Source organism: Homo sapiens, chromosome 10, assembly GCF_000001405.40.
Source record: "Homo sapiens chromosome 10, GRCh38.p14 Primary Assembly".
Taxonomy (NCBI): Eukaryota; Metazoa; Chordata; class Mammalia; order Primates; family Hominidae; genus Homo; species Homo sapiens.
The window spans coordinates 89,652,212-89,674,862 of record NC_000010.11 but is presented as its reverse complement, the minus strand read 5'-3'; positions in this window follow the sequence as shown (position 1 = coordinate 89,674,862).

Below are 22,651 nucleotides of genomic sequence, written 5' to 3'. Positions count from 1 at the left end.
CCTACTTGGTAGAGCAGGTCAGGGCAGAGAGTTTTTCTTGTCTGCTTTTTTTCTCAACTGCCTGCAGCTCAAAATGAATCCCTATACCACAGTAGCATATTTTGGGTGGCATTCTCTCTATAGATATTATAAACTGGCAACCTGAATTCAGGCCAAGGAAATTTTTTTTTACCAGCGCAATGTTTAAGTGGTATAAATTAGTTATGAACTTTTATCAATACCTACTGCTGTGCAACAAATTACCTATAAACTTAGTGGTTTCACCAGCCTAGAAACATAGCAAGACCCTGTCTCTACAAAAAATAAAATATTAGCCAGGTGTGGTGGGACACACTTGTGGTTCCAGGTACTTGTGGGGCTGAGGTGGGAGGATCACTTGAGCCCGGGAGATAGGAGGCTGCAGTGAGCTATGAACACACCACTGCATTCCAGCCTGGGTGAGAGAGTGAGACCCTGTCTCTAAAAAAAATAATAATTTATAAACAAATAAAAAACTTCGTGGTTTAACATGACAATAAAAATCAATTATTTCACAGTGTTGTAACTGGGTGGTGCTGGCTCAGGGTGTCCCATGAGGTGGCAGACGTGAAATTGGCTGGGAACTGAATAATACAGCAAATCTGTGAGTGAGACTGCCTTGAGTTTCAGTTCTGGCTCTGCCACTTACTAGCCATGTGACCTTATACAAGTACCTTAACCATTTTAAGCTCTTAATTTTCTCATTTGTAAAATAAGGATAACAGTAGAACTTACCTCGTAAGACTGTTGTGATCATTAAACGAAATAACATCATTAAATACGTAACATAGTGTGTTGCAGACAGAAGGCACGCAGTATATATTTTCATTGTTCACAGAGATTCTATGCTGTACAATGATTTGTTTATTTCCTTATACACCTCACAGGTAGGGAGGGTACTTGTGTTTTTCTTCAACTTAAAAATCAGGAAACTGGCTGGGTGCAATGCCCCATGCCTGTAATACCAGCACTGTGGGAGGCCGAGGTGGGTGGATCACTTGAGGCCAGGAGTTCCAGAGCAGCCTGACCAACATGGCGAAACCCTTCTCTACTAAAAATACAAAAATTAGTTGGGTGTGGTGGTGCATGCCTGTAATCCCAGCACTTTGGGAGGTCGAGGTGGGTAGATTACTTGAGGCCAGGAGTTCCAGATCAGCCTGACCAACATGGCGAAACCCCTTTTCCACTAAAAGTACAAAAATTAGCCAAGTGTGGTGGTGCATGCCTGTAATCCCAGCTACTTGGGAGGCTGAGGCAGGAGAATCTCTTCAACCTGGGAGGCGGAGGTTGCAGTGAGCCGAGATCACACCACTGCACTTTAGTCTGGGTGACAGAGCGAGACTCTGTCTCAAAAAAAAAAAAAGAAATCAGGAAACTGAGACTCAGGGGAGTTAAGGTACTTGCCCAAAGCAGCCACTTTTTAAGTGACTAAGGTAAGGCATGTCATCTGCACCAAGCTTAGAGTTCTTGCCATTTCTGTCAGTCAGGGATCAGGAAGTAGAGACCACTGCAGATATTAACACACTGAATTGTTACATTGACTTAATACATTGAATTATTTGCATACAATTCCTCTTATTAATGTTGGGGGAATTCTGCTTTCAATATTTTGAGTAACTAGGAGCAATGTGTGGACACTGGCACCCCACAACAACTAGATCCCAGATACAACACACTGTGAAGAATTCCTTATCTCAAGAAAGGTTGGAAAGGTCTCTAGCAATGCTCCTAAGTTAACAAATGAAAGCTGACCCCACAGCAGGTAGGGGGCAGCAACTGAGATATCTAGCAGTGGAGTTCTGGCAGAGTGAGATTGTAAAATTCATTTTAGAAATCATTTGACATGATCTTTTTTTTTTTTGGAGGCAGAGTCTTGCTCTGTCTCACAGGCTGGAGTGCAGTGGCACAATCTCGGCTCACTGCAAACCTCTGCCTCCTGGGTTCAAGAAATTCTCCTGCCTCAGCATCCTGAGTAACTGGGATTACAGGCATGCACCACCATGCCCAGCTAATTTTTGTATTTTTAGTAGAGACGGGGTTTCACCATGTTAGTCAGGCTGGTCTTGAACTTCTGATCTCATGATCCGCCCGCCTCGGCCTCCCAGACTGCTGGGATTACAGGTGTGAGCCACCATGCCTGGCGACATGAGCTTATAATATTGAACTTTCACATATCTTGGGATACAGCAGCTGCACTCCTGTATACTAAAAGTGACTTTTATACATGCATAGAACCTATTTCCAATAATGTTCACAGAAGCATTGTTGATAACACAACACTCGGATAAATGCTGATTAACCACATATTGGGGTAAGAATTATGGTTTGTTTGTGTAATGGAATATTATACTGTAGTAAAAATAAATGAATTTCAGCTATATGCAACACCATGGACACAAGAATGGATCTGAATAATAGTGAATGAAAAAGACAAATCCCAGAAGATGGCATAGTATGATACCGTCTTTGTAAAGTACAGAAACAAAATTTAAACAATATTTTGTTTAGGATTACATACATATAAGATAAAACTGTAGAGTAAAAGAAAGGGAACTCAATATTGGCTTATCTTTGAGGTAGGGTAGGGAGATGGGCTGAAGGAAGAGCACATAGACAGGACATACATAAGTTATTGGCCATGTTTTGGTTATTGAGTTCAAGGTGGGTTCATGGATGTTAATTATGGATGTTAATTGCATCACTATAAACACAGAAATAAAAATAAATACATAAATAGAAGTAGGAAATAAAAAATATATATTTTATTAGAAGGACTGAAAGACTAGGCTCTCAGTGGAGTTTCCAGAAATCACTTCCAGAGCCCTTACCTAATTGACCACATGGGGGATCTCTACATGGGAGGCCAAGACAACTGAATTCAAGAACACTCCATTGTATCTGTGAGCTAAATATTGGAAATCACAAAGCCACTGCAATTGCCACTAAATCTTGATACCCAGAAAGCTGAAAAATGGACACTGGAGGTTGTGCTGCAGAAAAAATTCTCTGCTTTTTATAATGCATTTACCAGTAGAAAGCAGCCAGAGGGTAAGATGGCCTTTGCCTCATTTCCTCCCTCCAGATTTCATTTGGGTAACTGGCAGAACCGAATTAGCAGACCCAACTTAGCCCCCAGAACTCTAGTGGCAAGGAGCCTAATAGTAAGTTTTAGCTTCCCAGCCTTGGAAGTATAGAAATGAATACTAGAAAGGTGAAATGGAAATTGAGCAAGCCAATTAATAGTATCTGTGGCAGAGACTGCTGTGTTTTCATCAAACCTATTTCATTTTCTTCTCGGACATAAAATTAAATTTCCCATTCTCCCATGATGTTAGTAGTGCCACGTGATAGACTCTAGCAAGTATACAGAAGTGATATGCTACTCACAGGCCTGGCTCCTGAAACATGCCATATGATCATGTTCTCTGTCCTCTCCCAGCTGCTGGCTGCATGTTGGTGAACCTTAGGAGTCATGCATTAAAGATGGTGGGGCCTCTGTTAGCTTAGTCTCTGCTTGACTGCAGGGAGCAGAGGTCCCTCTCTCCACCCCACCCCCCTACATTGGACAGTAGAGTGGGAACTGAACTTTATGTGTGTATTGTGTTAAGCCACTGAGATATGGAGATTGTTTTTATACAACTAGCACTACTATTATGACTAAAACCACAAATGGGACCTTGAAGTAGGTTGCTCCTAAAACAAAAACCTAAAATAGATGCCACTGGCTTAGCATACCAGTTGTGGGAAGAAAGGAAACTAATGCCAGAGGCAGCAAAGGCAGCAATCCATGCTATGCAGCAGTAAAACATTTGGCAAAAATTCTCGCTTATAGTAACTTAATAGATGGGCCATATGTTTACTAATGTCAGCTCCAAGAGAAGCAGTTGGAAAGAACCAAACTGTTAGTGTGTATTGGCTACTACTGGCTGGCCAGTATAGGCAGTGTACAAAGATAAATGAAAGAAAATAAGAAAATTACATAAATTTGGAGTCTTAAAGTAGACTACTACTTCTAGATCCCAAATAGAAGGAAATAAGATTGGGCAAACTCTGAGAAACCAAGGTCTGCTAGGTCACTGCCTTAGGGCAAAGATCACATTAAAGTTGTGGCCTTCCCACTCAGTCCTAACAGAATCAAGGTGGCTGCCAGTAGGTAGGCTGTCTCTTGGGAGAGGCATGGGAAAAAAGACATAAAGAAGATGAAGAGCTATGTCAGGAAAGTATTTGGGATGTTGTTTGTGGCACAGGATGTCTAGAAAAAAGTCAATGAGAAGCCTGTTAAGTTTCTGAGGAAATTTTATTTCCAAAGAAAATGTAAGTCTGGGACAAAGAATAGTCAAGGCATAAAACAACCACCACCCTTGGGCTCTCAGCTTTCCATGAGAAGGAAGTTGACTCCAAAATCTACATATCCCATAGATAGCTTACTCCCTATCACCCACTTCGGATATCACCACAGAGGATAATGGCAATGAAGAGAATTCCGAAAGAGTGGAGCCAGGGACCACAGAAAAATGGGCAAAATAATTTCTGCCATAGAACAGAAACAGTCCAAGTAAATTTCCTAATGCTTCTTGGTCAAGGAAACTTCACAATGCCTACCAGACTGCTCTAGACAAGTGATGGCTTTGTGTCTTTGATCTTTCCCCTTTCCAAATGAGACACTGCAGTTCTTTGTCTCTGCTTACCATTGTATATTTGGTGATGGGAAAGGAGCAGGAGGTAGAAAGCTCTTCTTTTTAGTTTATAAATTACTCAACCAGAAAGAACCATATCTATACCAGATGGACATGCATCCCAGGGCTTTTAGCTGAACACAACAACTGGGAATAATCTCCAGGGGAGTTTGGTGGGGGAGTGTACTCTATTTATGAGAGGAAGAATAAAATAATAATTTATTGACCAAAAGGGCAAGCTGTGGTAGAGACTGGCCATATGTTTTCCAAAATCATTTCTTTTCCCTCCTAGGCATTTGAACTACACTTCTCAGCCTCTCCTACAATTAAGGACCATGTGATTGAGTTCTGGCCAATTAGATGTGGGAAAGGTTGATGTATGATACTTCCAGACCTGGTCCCAAAAACATCCCACACAAACCTCTATGCTCTCTTTTGCTCCTCATCTGCTAGCTAGATGTCAACACATAAGGTCCCTAAATAACTGCATGGTGCAGAAACCCTCAGCTGACCACACTGAACAGTTTGTGAGCAACTAATAAATCTCTTACTATACTAATTTAACATGAAAAATTGTACAAGAGAAAATGGCCAGCTAAATACTTATTTAAGTTTCCAGACCTATAAATGTCTTATTTCAGCTATTAGATGATTGCACTTCAGCCTATTTGAAAAATACATTTTCATTTTCTAACAGTTGCATTTCTGACACAAATATACCCACTCATATTAGAATAATGGATGTCATATCTAAATGTGCCTAAGGGTTAGACCAGAAAGGGATGCCAAGTGAAGTGGTTAAAGCCTTAAAACTATCTTCAGGTATGTTCGTAGGTTTAATCTTGATATTTGGATCTGTGGCTCCACCCAAATCTCATAAGGAATTGTAATCCCCAATGTTGGAGGTGGGGCCTGGTGGGAGGTGATTGGATCATGGAGGTGGATCCGTCGTGAATGGTTTAGCACCATCACCTTGGTGGTGTTGTCATGATAGTGAGTTCTCACGATAGCTGGTTGTTTGAAAGTGTGTAGCACCTTCCCCTTCTCTCTCTCTTCCTCCTTTTCTGGCCATGTGAAGTGCTGGCTCTCCCTTCACCTTCCGCCATGACTAAGTTCCCTAAGGCTTCCCCAGAAGCTGATGCCACCGTGCTTCCTGTACAGCCTGTGAAACCATGAATCAGTTAAACCTCTTTTCTTTATAAATTACCCAGTCTCAGGTATTTCTTTATAGCAGTGTGAGAACAGACTAATAAACATCCTGAGTCAACATTATAAATGGTCTGTCATTCAAGGTCCAGCCAGGAGAACAGAAACCACCCTGGGTATTCAGGGGACAGGGAATGTGATGAAGGAAGAAGCAGACAAGCTAATTAGATGACAGCAACCCAGACATTAGCAACAGCAGGAAGCTGTTGGTCTGGCAAGGCAAGGGGTAAAGGTGATATAATCAGAGCCCAGGAGTTAGGAAGGCAGAGTCAGAGCAGACATGTCCTGTAGGTGCTAGAGACTCCAGAAGAAGGGTAGCAGCTGTTGGAGATGCTGTCCAAAGCAGTGAGGGAAGGAGAGAAAAACTTTGCTGTTCTCTCACCAATGCTCTTCTCTCACTGGCTAACGCCAACTGGAAGACAGCTGTCACTGGACCCTGAAAAACACAGCCTGCAAGAGTCAGCTCTCCTTCCTTACAGAGCAGGGTACAGTAAGGACAGGCAAAGGGTCTGAGCACACATCAGCTTAGGACCAGCAGAAACTGGTAAAGACAGTAAGACACTCTATTAAGTAATATCAAAGCTCAAGTATTAGAGCAACTTAAAAGAGTATTACAATCAAAAGTGGGGTATTTTACATTTTTCTTGCATTTTAGAGGTCCTGTTCTAGTTTGGGGATTTAAGTTATCACTTTTTTTCATTTTTATTCTAGGCCATGGAAGAGCCAGCATGTGGGGAAACTTCTTTATTCTGCTATCCAAATATAAAATATATACAGAAGTAGCTCCTTTGTCCCTTAACCTTAGTAAGCAAATTTGATTAAGCATTTGAACGCTATAGAGGTGCAAGGTGGGAGAAATTCTGCCTCTGCTACTTGGCAGCTCTATGATATTGGGCAAGCCATTCATACCACATTTATATTCCTTATATCCAAAATGGACATAATAATACCTTCTTACTTATCTCACTGGGTTATTAGAATGATCATAGTGTTTAGGTGGTTGGTTGTTTCAAGGAGGTAATAATGTATGTGAAAATAATTGGTATATGGAAAAGCATTAAATAATAGTGCTGAAACATTATACATATTAACATGCCTTTAAATCTGTCTCCCTACCATTCCATCATTTATTTTGGGGGTCAGTTTTACTGAGATATAATTAATGTATTAATATAAGTGTACAGCTTAATGAGTTTTGACAAATGTATACAGATATATGACTACTACCACAATCATGATATAGAATATATCAATGGCTCCCCAAATTTCCTCATGCCCCTTTGCATTTTTATACTTTAAAAGTCAATATATACCCAAGAGTGGTTAAAACATACCTTCCCAAAAACTTGTGCGTAAATATTCTTAGTAGCATTATGTATGATAGCCCCAAAGTGGAAACAACCCAAATAGCCATCAACTGATAAATGGATAAATAAAATATATATTCATGCAGTGGAATATAATTCAGCCACGAAAGGAATGAAGTACCAATGTCTGCTACAACATGGATGAACCTTGAAAACACTATGTTAAGTAAAAGAAGCCAGTCACAAAAGACCACACATTGTATGACTCCATTTTTATGAAAGGTCTGGAATAGGCAAATCTATAGAGACAGAAAGTAGTGTTTGCCTCACATTGGGGGCTAGGGAATAATGATGAATGACTGCTAATGGATGTGGAATTTCTTTTGGGGGTAATGAAAATGTTCTAAAATTGATTGTGGTGATGGTTGCAAAACTCTGTGAATATAATAAAACCATTGAGTTAATACCATTTAAATGTGTGAATTGTATGTTACATGGATTATATCTCCATTAAGCTGTTAATTTAAAAAGTTAAACAATTAAAGAAAATCTAAAAGGCAAAATTTCAAACAATATTTCATTGTAATTTTGCTATGCTAGTTTTCTCTTCAAAGTTATAAGATATAGTCATGAAGATTTTTATCTACAATCTTAATATCCTAAGAATCAAACTATTTTGATTATTTTTTGTCCCTTCCTCACCTCATCTTTGAATATATTTGCTTGGTTTGTAGTCATAATGGTGCAAACATGATTAGGGTGCTTTCATCAGTTAACATTAGATCATGAACATTTTCCCATAGTGTTATGAAGCCTTTATAATAATCATTTTAGAGATCATATGACATTCCCTCTAACTTACCACTTTCCTCCATCTGCTCAGACACCCAAGCCAGAAACCTGAGTTATGCCTAAGTTTCTCCTGCCACTGATTTACTTCAGAACAACATACTCTCTCACCTAGATTACTGCAAATGTTTCCTTACTGGTGCCCTTGCTTTTTGGTGGTCTTCTATCAATCTGTCAAACAGCATGCAGCAGCTACACATCATATAGCAGCCAGGCCTAAAACATGTTTCTTCAATGACTCCCAACCAACTACCCATTAGAGGCCAAACCGCTTCTAATGGTTCACACAGCCCTTTGGATATGGGCTCTTGCCTACACTTTCAGTCTCATCACTGTCCTCTGCATTCCCTCCCCAGTGTATATTTCTTGTGTTCCCTGAAAAGCACACAGTGTAGTGTATTCTCTGCCCAGAATAACTCTCCCACTCCTCCTTCTGCTATTTAGTTGGCAAACTCCTACTTACCCTTTAACATTTAGTGTAAACATCACCTCCTATGGGAAGCATCTCCTCTCCTCCACAGAAAAAGGGAGGTGCTCCCACATCCACACTCCTAGATACCTTTGTACATGTCTCCATTTTGTTCTGTACTTCCCATGCATGCTCCATGCTTATCTTTCTCACCAGAGTAGAAATTATGGTCTATTCAACTTGTTATTTCCAGCACTTCAGCATCTGGCACATAGTAGGTCCCAGTAAATGTTATTTCAATAATTTAATGACTACCACTAATTCAGCATTGTTTTCTAGCCACTGTTCACATTGCTTTTCACAGATTATCTCACTTAGTCTTCTAAACAATCCCATAAGGTAGATACTGTTATCATCACTATTTTAAAGATGAGGAAACTGAGGCACAGATTAGGTAACTTGCCCCAAATCATTGCACAGCTAGGAAGTGAGTGGCACAACCAGGATGTGAACTCATGCAGGGTGATTCTAACACTGGAGTTCATGTTCATAATCACTACACTACATAAAAAAACTTGAATGTATAACCCATTATCTTATTGCCTAATACATAAGCTACTTGTACTCTCTCTCTCTTTCTCTCTCTCTCTCCTCCCAGCCACCCCACTTTTCTTCTTTTGAATTTTTTTGAATTTGGCTTAAGATAAATTCCCAGGAGTAGAGCTTAAAGAGGTATTTACAAGATGAGGACATTTTTCTGGATCTTCATAGGTCCAATGAGAACTTTACTTAACAAAATGTAGTGCATGCCAAAGAAGGGAAAGTTTCAAGGCCATCACCCATCCCAGGCTGATATGGTATGATCGGGCAAGTTGGATCAAGAACTCTGAAGACAGCTGCAGAACTAGTGCAAGAAGGTACAGACTGCTGTGAACTAGGCTTGGCCAGCAGTTGGCGTAGCTTCACAATACAGCTTTTAATCTAATTTTAGGATGAAAGAATGGAAAGCCCTTCTATGTTGCTGCTTCTTAAAAATCCCCAAATATTAATTTAGTGGCTAAACTGCAGCACCAGTTTTCACAGTAACATTTTTTATGCCATAAAATAGGTTAATCTAAACAGTATGACTATACATTTTTGAAGCCGCCCACCATGTAATTCTGGCTATCCTGAAATTGCTATGCTACGAGGAAGCCCAAGCTACCTGAGCAGAGATACCATGTGGAGAGAATGATAACCAGCTAGCCTGAGCTGCCCAGCCATTTCAACCTAGATGCCAGGCATGGAAATCATGAAGCCACCTTGTACATTTCAGCTTCAGTAGCTATGACGTGAAGAAAACTGTGAAACCTAACTGATAGCCAGAATTAAGGCCTCCGTATTTGCCTTAGTTCATTCGGAGTGCTATAACAAAATACCATAGATTGGGTGGCTTAAAAGCTCACAGTTCCAGAGGCTGAAAGTCGAAGATCAGGTTGCCAGCATAATCAGGTTTTGATGACAGCCCTCTTCTTTCTAAGCTGCAGATTGCTGACTTCTCCCTGTGTCCTCACATGGTGGAAGGAGCAGGATCTCTCTGGGGTTTCTTCTATAAGGACACTAATCCCATTCACAAGGGCTCTACCCTTATGACCTAATCACCTCCCAAATGCTCTATATCCTAATACCATTACGCTGGGGGTTAGGATTTCAACATGAGAATATTGGGGGGCACATTCAAACCATAGCAGATATGTGGTCCCAGTTAAACCATTCCAACCATTTATATCCTTTTGAGCCATCTCAGTCATCCCAGTCATCATGGAACAGACATGGGCTATTCCTTCTGAGCCCTGTTTGAATTCCAGACCCATAAAGTAGGGAGTGTAATAAACGTTGTTTAATGCCACTAAGAAATAAAATAAGTTCTTCTCCTACCCTAGCAACATAATTTGTTACTATGTTACAAAACAGTTGCTCACCAGTGGCATTGACTTTGATGCAGTCACGTGTATGACCTCTCCAGAGCCGCAGCAAGGATGGCAGCTGAAGGCTTATCCTGGCAGAGTTTTCTTCAGCTGCTTCAACCCAGAGGACCACAAGTGATCTATGAAAGCTGGTGTTTCTCCAACTGCCAGAGGGTGCTCTAGCTATTCAGGATGTTTGCCTGATACCCCCAACTACCAGCCTGTCTGGGATGGTGATGAGAGCTCTGGCTCTAATAGTAGCTTAATCTGGGTTCAAATCCCAGCTCTACCACCTAAATTAGTTGCATGATTCCAGGCAGCTTAGTGAACTTGGGGTACCTGAATTTTGTCATCTTTAAAATGAGGATAACAACATCTAACATTGTAAGTTTGTAATTAGGATTAAATGAGCCTTACTTACTTAGCATTTTAAAATAATGATAGAGTGCCTGTAGTCCCAGCCACCTGACATGCTGAGGCAGGAGGATCTCTTGGGCCCAGGAGTTCGAGGCTGCAGTGGCACCACTGCACCCCAGTGTGAGCAACAGAGTGAGACCCTGTCTCTAAAAAAAAAATAAAAATAATGATAGCTAATGTTTACTGAGTATCTCACGAATGACTTTATATTCCTTATCACTATCATCAATACAATATTATGCTGATGGCTTCCAAATGTATACTGATTGTTCAGGCCTCTCATAATCTCCAGTTTCACATAATTAATTGTCTAATTGACATAGTCACTGGGATATCCAATTGACACTTGATGGTTACCTTTTCTATTTTGTTGCTAAAACCTGAAAACAAGAAATCATCCTTGACTTTTCCGTTTTCTTAATCTTCCACGTTCATTTAATAATTTGTTAATTTTACTTTCAAAATAGATTTCAAAACTGTTCACTTCTGTGCATCTCCCATCATCTCTCCTCTGAACAGCTGCCTCCTCTCTGGTCTCTCTATGCTTTCCCTTTAGCCCCTGCCCCAGTCCATTCTCTATGGAGCAGCCAGAGTTATTTTTCTAAACATAAATAAATCAATTCCTGTCATCTGTCTACTTCATAACTGTCAGCAGTTTCTTGTAACGCTTTGGATAAAATCCAAACTGCTTACCATGGACCACAATGTCCCAAGCCTTCAAGCCTCTGCCTATGCCTTAACCTGATCTCACCCCACTCATCTTCCTCATGATGCTCCAGTCACATGGGCCTTCTGCACGTTCCCAGTTCATTCCTATCCCTTTTGACTGTGGTGTCATCTAGCTTACTCTTCACCTCGATAGCTCCTTTTCATATTTTGGATCTTAGCTCTATCACTTATGAACAGCCTTACCTGCAAATAAACCCCATCTAAGAGTGGCTTAAACACAGGAAAGTTTGTCTGTCTCTTATAAAATTTCCAGAAGTAGGCATCCTAGGGCTGGCACAGCAGCTCCATGAGACCATAGGGACTTAGCTTCTTCCCACCTTTCAGTTCTATCATCCTTCAGGTATTGACCTCATGTCGTAGTCTGTTTTCTGCTGGTATAACAGACTACCACAGACTGGGTAATTTATAAAGTAAGGAAATTTATTTCTCACAGTTACAGAGGCTAGGAATTCCAAGAGCATACACCAGCATCTGGTGAGGGCCTTTGTGCTGTGTCATAACATGGCAGAAGGGCAAATGAGCACATGAGACAGAGCACGAGGGGTGGACTCCCTTTTATGACAACCCTCTGTCATAACTAAGCTACTTCCATGATAATATTAATCCATTCATGAGAGCAGTAGGCCCCATCTCCCAACACTGTTGCATTGGGGATTAAGATTTCAACACATAAACTTTTAGGGGATGCAGTCAACTCATATAGCCTCATATGCCTGACTTCATACTTGCTGCCTTATGATCACAAGACAGCTACTGCACTGTTAAAGCAGAAGGGGGAGAGCAGAGGGATAAAACCCACTTTTTATTTAACTTTGTATTATGCAGGATTTCAAATATTAAAAAATAGAATAGTATAGAGAGCCCCCCATGGATACACCACACAACTACAATAATTATCAACTTGTGGCCAATCTTGCTTTATCTATTATCCACCCCCACTTGACTCTCCCTCTCTTCTCATTATTATGAAGGAAGATCTAGACATTCTATCATTGTTTTCCAAAGTGTGTCACTACCTATTCTAAAAGATAAAGCTTTCCCTTTTTCAATATACTATTATCACACAAAAAATAGCAATTCCTGGCTGGGCGCAGTGGCTCATGCCTGTAATCCCAGGTGGGAGGCCAAGGTGGGTGGATCACCTGAGGTCAGGAGTTCGACACCAGCCTGGCCAACATGGTGAAACCGCATCTCTACTAAAAATACAGAAATTACCCCGACGTGGTGGTGCATGCCCATAGTCCCAGCTACTTGGGAGGCTGAGGCAGGAGAATCGCTTCAACCCCGGAGGTGGAGGTTGCAGTGAGCCGAGATAAGTGCTACTGCACTCCAGCCTAGGTGAGAGAATGAGACTCTGTCTCAAAAAAAAAAAAAAAAAATAGCAATTTCTTAATATCATCATATTTCCAATTATTCCACAATAATTCAAATTTCTAATTATTCAATAAAAGCAATATTTTTTTTACAGTTTAAAGTATCCAAATACTTGCAAATAAGACACTTGCAATGGACATGTCCTTGAAGTCCCTTTTAATCCACAGGATCCCCCTTCATCTCTTTTCCTTTCCTCTTATTTTTTGAAGAAACTAGGTCATTTGTCCTGTAGAGTTTCCCACAATCTGGATTTTTCTGATTGCATCCCTATGGTGTCCTCTGTGTATCTTGTAAGTTAATAGTTGAATCTACAAGTTTGATTAGATTCAGATGTTTTATTGTTCCTTTTTTCTTCTTGGCAAGACTACTTCATAGGAGGTATTATGTTCTGCTATCCAGAGGTGCCTAATGAGTGGTTGTCTCTCTTTTTGTGACATTAACAGCTTTTGATGATTAATGTCTAAATCCATTAATTCCTTATGTTATAAAATGATAATGTTTTAAGTCTATCATTCCTTCTTCAGTTGTTAGCTGGAATACTTTTATAAAGAGAAACTTTCCCATTCTATTTTTAAGTGACCCAATAGGTACAAACAATAAAGGAAAGATTAATGCTTCATACTTTCCCTTAGTTTACCAGTTTTCTTTGAGACAGAGTTTCGCCCTTGTTGCTCAGGCTAGAATGCAATGGTGCGATCTTGGCTCACCACAACCTCTGCCTCCTGGGTTCAAGCAATTCTCCTGCCTCAGCCTCTTGAGTAGCAGGGATTACAGGCAGGTATCACCATGCCCAGCTAATTTTGTATTTTTAGTGGAGGCGGAGTTTCTCCATGTTGGTCAGGCTGGTCCCAAACTCCCAACCTCAGGTGATCCACCCGACTCAGCCTCTCAAAGTGCTGGGATTACAGGCATGAGCCACCGTGCCCAGCCACCAGTTTTCAAAACAGTGAATTGATTCACTAGCATCCTCCAGTGGTAACCAATCAGACTTTTAAAAAATTATCTTTGTGAACTCATTGATTTAAACATATTTGATGTGTTTTAATGCACTGCAGTTATTAGCCTTATTGATATTCAAATAGTCCAATTTTGGCCATTGGGAGTGTCCTCAAGTTGATTTATCAGTTCCTTTTTTATGAGAAAACCCAAAACTTTCCGGAAACATCACTTGGACAGTTTCTTCTCTTATCTCACTGGCCTGAGTTGTGTCAAATGGCCACCCTGAGCTGGAAGATGGCAATGGATGGAGTTTGGATCATTCATACTCTCCTCAAAGAAGTTTTCTCCTGATGCCCCACCTAAAGAATGCACCCCCTATTATTCTGCAGAATGATATCCTGTTTATTTGCTTTATACTACTAATCATAAACTGTAGTTACTGTATTTGTTCATTTGTTAAGGGTCTGACTCTCTCAGTGGGTTGTAAGCTTCATGATGTTTCCCTAGCACAACATTCACAGGTGCTCATAAAATTTACTTAATAAATATATGTCGAATTAATAAAATAAATAAGGTAGAGACCATTTTATTCCTATTGTGTCCACTCTCCAATACAGCATCCATTATTTACATGTTGCTATTTAAATTTAAATGTAAATTCATTAAAATAAAAAATTAAAAATCCAGTTCATTACTCTCATTAGCTATATTTCACGTACTTGAAAGCTATGTGTGGCTAGTGACTATCACATTGCACAGTGTAGATACGATGTATTTCCCCCATCAGAGAATACTATTGGATAATGCTGGAGAGAAGAAACTGGCTATTAGATAAATCAACTTAATTAAGGTCATAGTTACTAAGATTACACAGCCACTAAGAGAAGGAGCTGGATTCAAACCTACGTCTGAGTGACTTCAGAAATAGAACTCATAACACCATAACATAGTTATCACTGTTGTTATTACTTGATTAGTCCTGCTTTCAATTTCAGCCTCTCTAGGGGAATTTATAGAGAGATTCAAGCCTCATTACCACATAGGTTAACTGACTATCTCAGTTTGCCTGGGTTGAGGAAGTTCCCAGGATGCAGAAAAGTCTCAGCAAACCATGCTACCTAATTATCAAAATCTTTATTGAGGTTTGTGGCAGGTAAATAGATGGGTTCACTCAACTCCATTTCGACCACTTTCAATATGCCCTGTTGCATGCTAGAAGTGAGAAAGTTGAAGTCTTTCCCCAGATTTCCTTACAGCTTCGGTCCTGTACATGGGCTAGCTCTGCCAAGCAGATGCACTTGGGCAACATCTGGAAGGCCTGATTGAGGAGGAGGCTGCACTTCTGCTGCTTTGTCTGGAAGGCAGTGCAGTGGCAGCAGAGGTCTCAGTGTCCTGTCCTTAATATCATGGACTTGGAGAGGCAGAATATGGGGCATGCGTTTTGCGTGTATAGATTTGACCCGAGATGGTCAGTCCTGAAGCCAGCAACAGGAGCAGTGACTCCCTGATTTCTTGTTTTATGATTGTAACAGAAGTAGCTACTCCCTTAGTAAGATGATTCTGTTGTGGAAAGAATACCACCCAAGAGAGTCATTACTGGGAGCCAAGCCAGTAATGGCTGTTTTTAGCTTTTCCAGCGATTTTACTCACCCAATTTCCCATATTGATTCATTTTATGCTAAAACGAGTTAAAGTGGTGAGATATAGTGATATAAGAAATGTGTATTTGGTTTATTCTCCCAGTTCCTGACACAGAGCTCCTAATCCTTTGGAATTTCCCGAGTGATAGGAGTGTCTTTTGTTCTAATGGAGCGAGTCTTGGTGGACTCCTGGATGGAGACTGGTCACCAGAAAGACTAAGCCATAATTAGAAACTTTGAACTTTCCAACTCACCCCCCATCCTTTGGGGAAAGCTGGAGATTGGGTTAATTGATCATGTCTACCTGATGAAGTTTGGTGAGCTTCCAGGTTGCTGAACATGTGGAGATGTCTAGATGGTGGTAAACCTGAAGAGATCATAGGAGCTTTGCTTTCCTTCCCATATACTTTGCCCAGTGTATCTCTTCATCTGGCTGTCCATCTGTATTCTTTATAATGTCCTTTAAAATGACTGGTAAGTATAAATAAATTGCTTTCCTGAGTTCTGAAAGCCATCCTAGCAATCAGACCTGAGGAATTTGTAGCTGGTTGGCGAGAAGTACAAGTCACAACCTGGGACTTATGATTGGCATTTGAAGTGGGGCACAATCTTGTGGGCCTGAGCCCTTAACCTGTTGGATCTGATGTTATCTCCAGGTAGCCAGTGTAAGAACTGAACTGTAGGACACCCAGTTGGTGTCCACTGGAGAATTGCTTGGTGTGTGGGGAAAAGTCCCCACATATATTAGTCACAGGATTGTTCTATGTTGTGTTGTGTATGAGAGGAGAAGGAGGAAGTTTGTTTTTTCCCTTACAAGTGGGTTTTTATTATTATATGCAGCTGATGACCACTTACTATTCAGAGGGGATTTCATCTGGGAAACAAGACAGCTATAAGAAACCTGAATGAAATATGAATATCTAGCATACTAGGCCCCTGATACAAGATTCTCCTTATCACTGCTATCATTCTTTAAGAACTGTGCATAGATCCTATTCACCAGAATCCTGAAAATACTTGAAATTTGATTTCAAAAAGTTGACTATATGTGTATACACACACAAATACACACAAATACTCCTCGACTTGCAGTGGGGTCATGTCCCAATAAACCCATCATAAGTTGAAAATATCATAAGTGAAAAATGTATTTGCCACCTAACCTACCGAACATCATAGCTTAACCTAGTCTACCTTACATGTGCTCAGAACACTTACATGAGCCTATAGTTGGGCAAAATCATCTAACACAAAGCCTATTTTGTACTAAAGTGTAGAATATCCCACGTAATTTATAGAACATTGTACTAAAAGTAAAAAACAAAGGTTGTATGAGTACTTGAAATATAGTTTCTACTGAATGCCTACCACTTTTTCAGCATTGTAAAGTTGAAAAATTGTAAGTTGAATTATTGGAAGTTAGGAACTATGTATACAAAATAGAAAACATTATATTAATAGTTGGAAAAAAATTTTAAGGGCAAAAAGTCTCTTTCAGAAACAAAAATAAGATAATAGGTTGAAGAATATCAATAAGAAATAAAGGAACCTAGTAATTTTTATGAAAGGTAATGCTATGCAGGCAATGGAATATTATACCAGGCATTTGCAACCATGGTGTAAAGTCTGCAGGTAAAGGGAGATACACTGTCTTTTGGGAGGTACTACAGCTGAGTTATGGAATGTATAGGTGTAAAGGGGAAAAAAACCCTGATTTTCTCTCTACTCTCATACTCACCACACAGAACACTTTTGTGACCAGATGTGTGGGAGTTTTCCCCACATACCAAGCAATTCTCCAGTAGATACCAACTGAGTGTCCTACATTTATACGTAGAGATAGTGTCAGATTCCAAAGGTTGAAGACTCAGTCCCATAGGACTACTCCCACTTCAGATAGCCATTGCAAGTCAAGTCCTAAGTTGTGACTTGTGCTTCTGAATAAGCAGCTGTATTAGTCTGTTCTTACATTGCTATAAAGACATACCTGAGACTGGGTAATTTATAAAGAAAAGAGGTTTAGTTGGCTCACAGTTCTGTGGGCTGTACAAGCTTTCTGGGGAAGTGTCAGGAAACTTACAATCAGGCAGAGGGTGAAGGGGAACCAGGCACATATTTACGTGGCTGGAAAAAAGGGGAGTGCTACATATTTTTAAACAAGCAGCACCAGGGGGATGGTGCTAAACCCATAGATCCAATTACCTCCCACCAAGTCTCTCCTCCAACACTGAGGATTACAATTCAACATGAGATTTGGGTGGGGGCACAAAGCCAAACCATGTCATTCCACCCCTGCCCCTCCCAAATCTCATGTCCTTCTCACATTTCAAAACACAATTATGGCTTCCCAATAGACCCTCGAAATCTTAACTCATTCCAGCATTATCTCAAAAGTCCAAGTCCAAAGTTTCACCTGAGATTAGGCAAGTCCCTTCTGCCTATGAGCCTGTAAAATCAAAAACAAGTTAGTTATTTCCAAGATACAATGGCAGTACAGGCATTAGGTAAATGTTCCCATTCCAAAAAGGAGAAATTGGCCAAAACAAGGGAGCTACAGGCTCTGTGCAAGTCCAGAATCCTGCAGGGTAGTCATTAAATCTCAAAGCTCCAAAATAATCTCCTTTGACTCCATGTCTCACATCCAGGACACACTGATGCATGGGATGGGCTCCCAAGGCCTTGGGCAGCTCTGTACCTTTGGCTTTGCAGGGTACAGCCCTTGTGGCTGCTTTCACAGACTGGCAATGAGTGCCTGTGCCTTTTCGAGTTGCATGGTGCAAGCTGTTGGTGGATCTACCATTCTGGGGTCTGGAGGATGGTGGCCCTCTTCTCACAGCTCCACTAGGCAGTGCCCCAGTGGGGACTCTATATGGGGACTCCAACCCCACATCTCCCCTTGCACTGCCCTAGTCAAGGTTCTCCATGAGGGCTCCACCTCTGTACCAGACTTCTTCTGCTTGGACATCCAGGCATTTCCAAACATCCTCTGAAATCTAGGCAGAGGTTTCCAGGCATCAATTCTTGCCCTCTGTGCTTAATAACACATAGAAGACACCAAGACTTGCAGCTTGCACCCTTTGGAGAAGTGGCCTGAGCTGTACCTTGGCCTCTTTTAGCCATGGTTGGAGCTGGAGCAGCTGTGATGGAGGATACCATGTACCAAGGCTGCATAGAGCACTGGGACCCTGGGCCTGGCCCACGAAACCACTCTTCCCTACTAGGCCTCCAGGCCTGTGATGGAAGGGGCTGCCTTGAAGGTCTCTGAAATGCCATGGAGGCATTATCCCCTTTGTCTTGGCTATTAACATTCAGTTCCTCTTTACTTATGCAAATTTCTGCAGCTGGCTTGAATTCCTCCCCAGAAAATGGGTTTTTTTTTTCTACCACATGATCAGGCTGCAAATTTTCCAAAATTTGCATGAATATAAGCATATGCTGTTAGAAGCAGCCAGGCCACATGTTAAACACATTGCCGTTTAGAAATTTCTTCCACCAGATAACCTAAATCATCTCTCTCAAGTTCAAAGTTCCACAGATCTTTAGGGCAGGGCACAATACCTCCAACCTCTTTGTTAATGAGTAACAAAATGACCTTTGCTCCAAATAAGTTCCCAATAAATTCCTCATCTCCATCTGAGACCATCTCAGCCTGGACTTCACTGTCCATATCACTATCAATATTTTGGTCACAACTTAACAAGTCTCTAGGGAGTTCCAAACCTTCCCTCATCTTCCTGTCTTCTTCTGAGCACTCCAAACTGTATCAACCTCTGCCCGCTACCTAGTTCCAAAGTTGCTTCCACATTTTCAGGTATCTTTATACCAATTGCCCTCTTCTCTGGTACCAATTTTCTGTATTAGTTCATTCTCACATTGCTATAAAGACATACTGGAGACTGAGTAATTTATTTTAAAAAGAGGCTTAATCAGCTCATGGTTCTGAGGCTTCTGCTTCTAGGGAGGCCTCAGGAAATTTACAACCATGGCAAAAAGTGAAGGGGAAGCAGGCATAGCTTCACATGGCTGGCAGGTTGCAGGGGAGGTGCTACATACTTTTAAACAAGCAGCACTAGGGGGATGATCCTAAACCATTAGAAACTGACCCCATGATCCAACCACCTCTCACCAGGCCCCTCCACCAACACTGGGGATTACAATTTGACATGAGATTTGGGTGAGGACACAAAGCCAAACCATATCACCAGCTATATATTAAGGTTCCCATGACTCCTCACCTTGGGTTCAGTAATTTGCTAGGAGAGCTCACGGAACTTAGAGAAATACTTTACTTACATTTACCAGTTGATTACAAAGGATATTACAAAGGATACAGATGAACAACCTGATGAAGGGATATCTTGATACAGTTAGGATATTTGTCCCTGCCCAAATCTCATCTTGAATTGTAATCCCCAGTGCTGGAGATGGGGCCTGATGGGAGGTGTTTGTATCCTGGGGGCGGATCCCTCATGGTTTAGTGCTGTCTTCATGACAGTGAGTTCTCGTGAGATCTGGTCATTTAAAAGTTTGTAGCACCTCCCTCCCAATTCTCTCTCTCCTGCTTGCTCCTGCTGTTGCCATGATGTGCCTGAGCCCCCTTCACCTTCTGCCATGATTGAAAGCTTCCTCAGGCCTCCCCAGATGCCGAGCAGATGCCAGCACCATGCTTCCTGTAAAGCCTGCAGAACCATGAACCAATTAAAACTCTTTCCTTTATAAATTACCCAGTCTCAAGTGTTTCCTTATAGCAATGCAAGAATGAACTAATACATACATAGAGCAAGGCATGGATGGGCGACTACCCTCCCAGCACCTTTATGTGTTCAGCAACCTGGGAGTTCATTAAATTGCATTATTCAAGAGTTCTAGAGAGCTTAATCTCTAGCCCCCACCCCTTTCCTGGAGGTTGGTGGGTGAGGCTGAAATTTCCAACCCTCTAATTCCCTAATCACTTGATTTTTCTGATGTCTGGCCCTATCCTGAGTCTATCACAGGGGGCCCACCACAAGTCAACTTATTAGCATAAAGTCAGGTATGATAAAAAGAGGCCATTATGAATAACAAAACACTCCTTTTTTTCCCCACACTCCGGGAAATTTTGAGTGTTTCAGGATCTCTGACAGGAATTGGGACAAAGACCAAATATATTTTGTTTTATACCACAGTAAGTTCTGGAGCCATCCAGACCTGTGTTCAAATGTCAGTGACACTATTATCCACTGTGTGAACTTGGATAAGCTAATGAGCCTCTATAAGCTCCAGTTCCCTAATCTGGAATATGAGGATAATAATAGTACCCAATTCACATGGCTATTGTGATACTTATTTTAAAAAAATGATATTTATAGTGTGCTTAGGACAGTATATGGCACATGAGGATTTAATACATGTTAGATAATATGACTGTTATAATTTTGCTAAACTCAGCTCCATTCTTGAAATTATGTCCAATACTTGGGGTCATTCTGATTACAGCCTATCAAATTTCTAGGCAGCCATGCACCATCCCCCTCCATATCATAATTAGTAGGTGCTCAAAAAATATTAGTGCCTAACAGGAAGTTTATTCACGTGGGGTGCGTTTCACTCCTGCACACACAGTTATTACTGGTAGTGGCAGCTGCTGATGCTATATTTTCCCCTCTTTGTTGACCAAAATAAAACGAAAAAAAAAAATAGACAACAAGAGTATCTTGGGTATGTGTTTGAAGAAAGTACTCCATCACGAGAGAGAAAGAATCGTAAAGAGAAAGGGATTACTCTCATGTGGTCAATTTGAGAAAGCGCAAGAACTGGGCTTGGCTTCAGCTTGCCCCCAGTAGAGCATTCTTTCATACATTCCCACTGACCACAAAACCCACACCACTACCTCACTGATGCTATACCTGCTAACTCCAAGGCTTTAGTCACACAAAGAACACAGCCATTCTTCTTTGCTCTCATAATGTTTAACCATGTCTTTTACTTACAGAATTTCAGAAACTGGCTTTGGGGGATCCAAAATCAAACCAAGGTTGCAGAGTGTCCTACCTGGGAAGGAATGCCGAAAATCTGATTTAAACCCTCTTTGCTGCTCCCAGATAACCAGTTGGCCCATTACTCAAGAAAAACATAGCAACGCGCTATGCTACATACCCTACCCCTCACATGCTTTGTCCAGCCCAGCCTGCATATCTTACCCCTATTGTCAATTCCAGCACTTTGTCTCATAAAAAATCCCTACCAGCTCTTTTTCAGAGAGTCACCAGAAGGTCCTTGTGCCTCTGCTGTCTCCCTTGCACTCAAGCACAAACACCAGATAAAAGCCTTGTCTGAGGAATCTGCTTGGCTCCATGTTAATTTTTATTACATGGGGAGCCTCTGGTCTGTAACAAATTATTGTGAAAGACTGATGATTAGACAAACTGGCCTAAACTTTCTCCAATGGTTTGTTCCAGTGAATAATTTTCCTTACACTTGATTTGCCCTACTGGGGGGATAGGTTCAATTCATTCTTTCAATCAACAAGTATTTATGAATTACCTACCATATTTATGATATGAGATACACTGTGAATACCTCTTCTACATCTACTCCAACCTTAATTAACTTCTATTCAATATTCAGAACTCAGTTTAAATACCACTTCCTCTGATGAAACTTATATTTAGGCCAGGTCAGCCTGGTATGTACTCTCATGGCACTAGGGGGTCTTATATTTTATGCATTTTGAAGTATGCACTAATGTCTTTGCTTTTTTGGTGAGTGTGTGCTTAAGGCCTGTCTTTTCTGTAACACAGATGAAGACAGGGACTTTGCTTTTGCTCAAGATTGTAACTCTGGTACTTATCTTCGTACTTAAGTGAGAGGCTCTGATGAATGAGTTATCAGAATCTCACTATAACACTACTCACCAAAGTACTTTTTGTTTGTGGTAACCTCTGACTGCCAGGGGCACCTACAGAAAGTATGGTGATGAAAATCTGTACCTGAAGGTAGTCTCTTGTATGAGGTAACCCCATGGTGAATCTCTGAGGAAGTTATAAACACCAATAACAAAAAAGCAGAAATGAAAAAATAAAAAAAGAAGTTCATCCTGGGTCAATATTATTCTGGTAGTCAACATTCTAATAATTCTTTTAAAACTATGTCTTGATGTGTG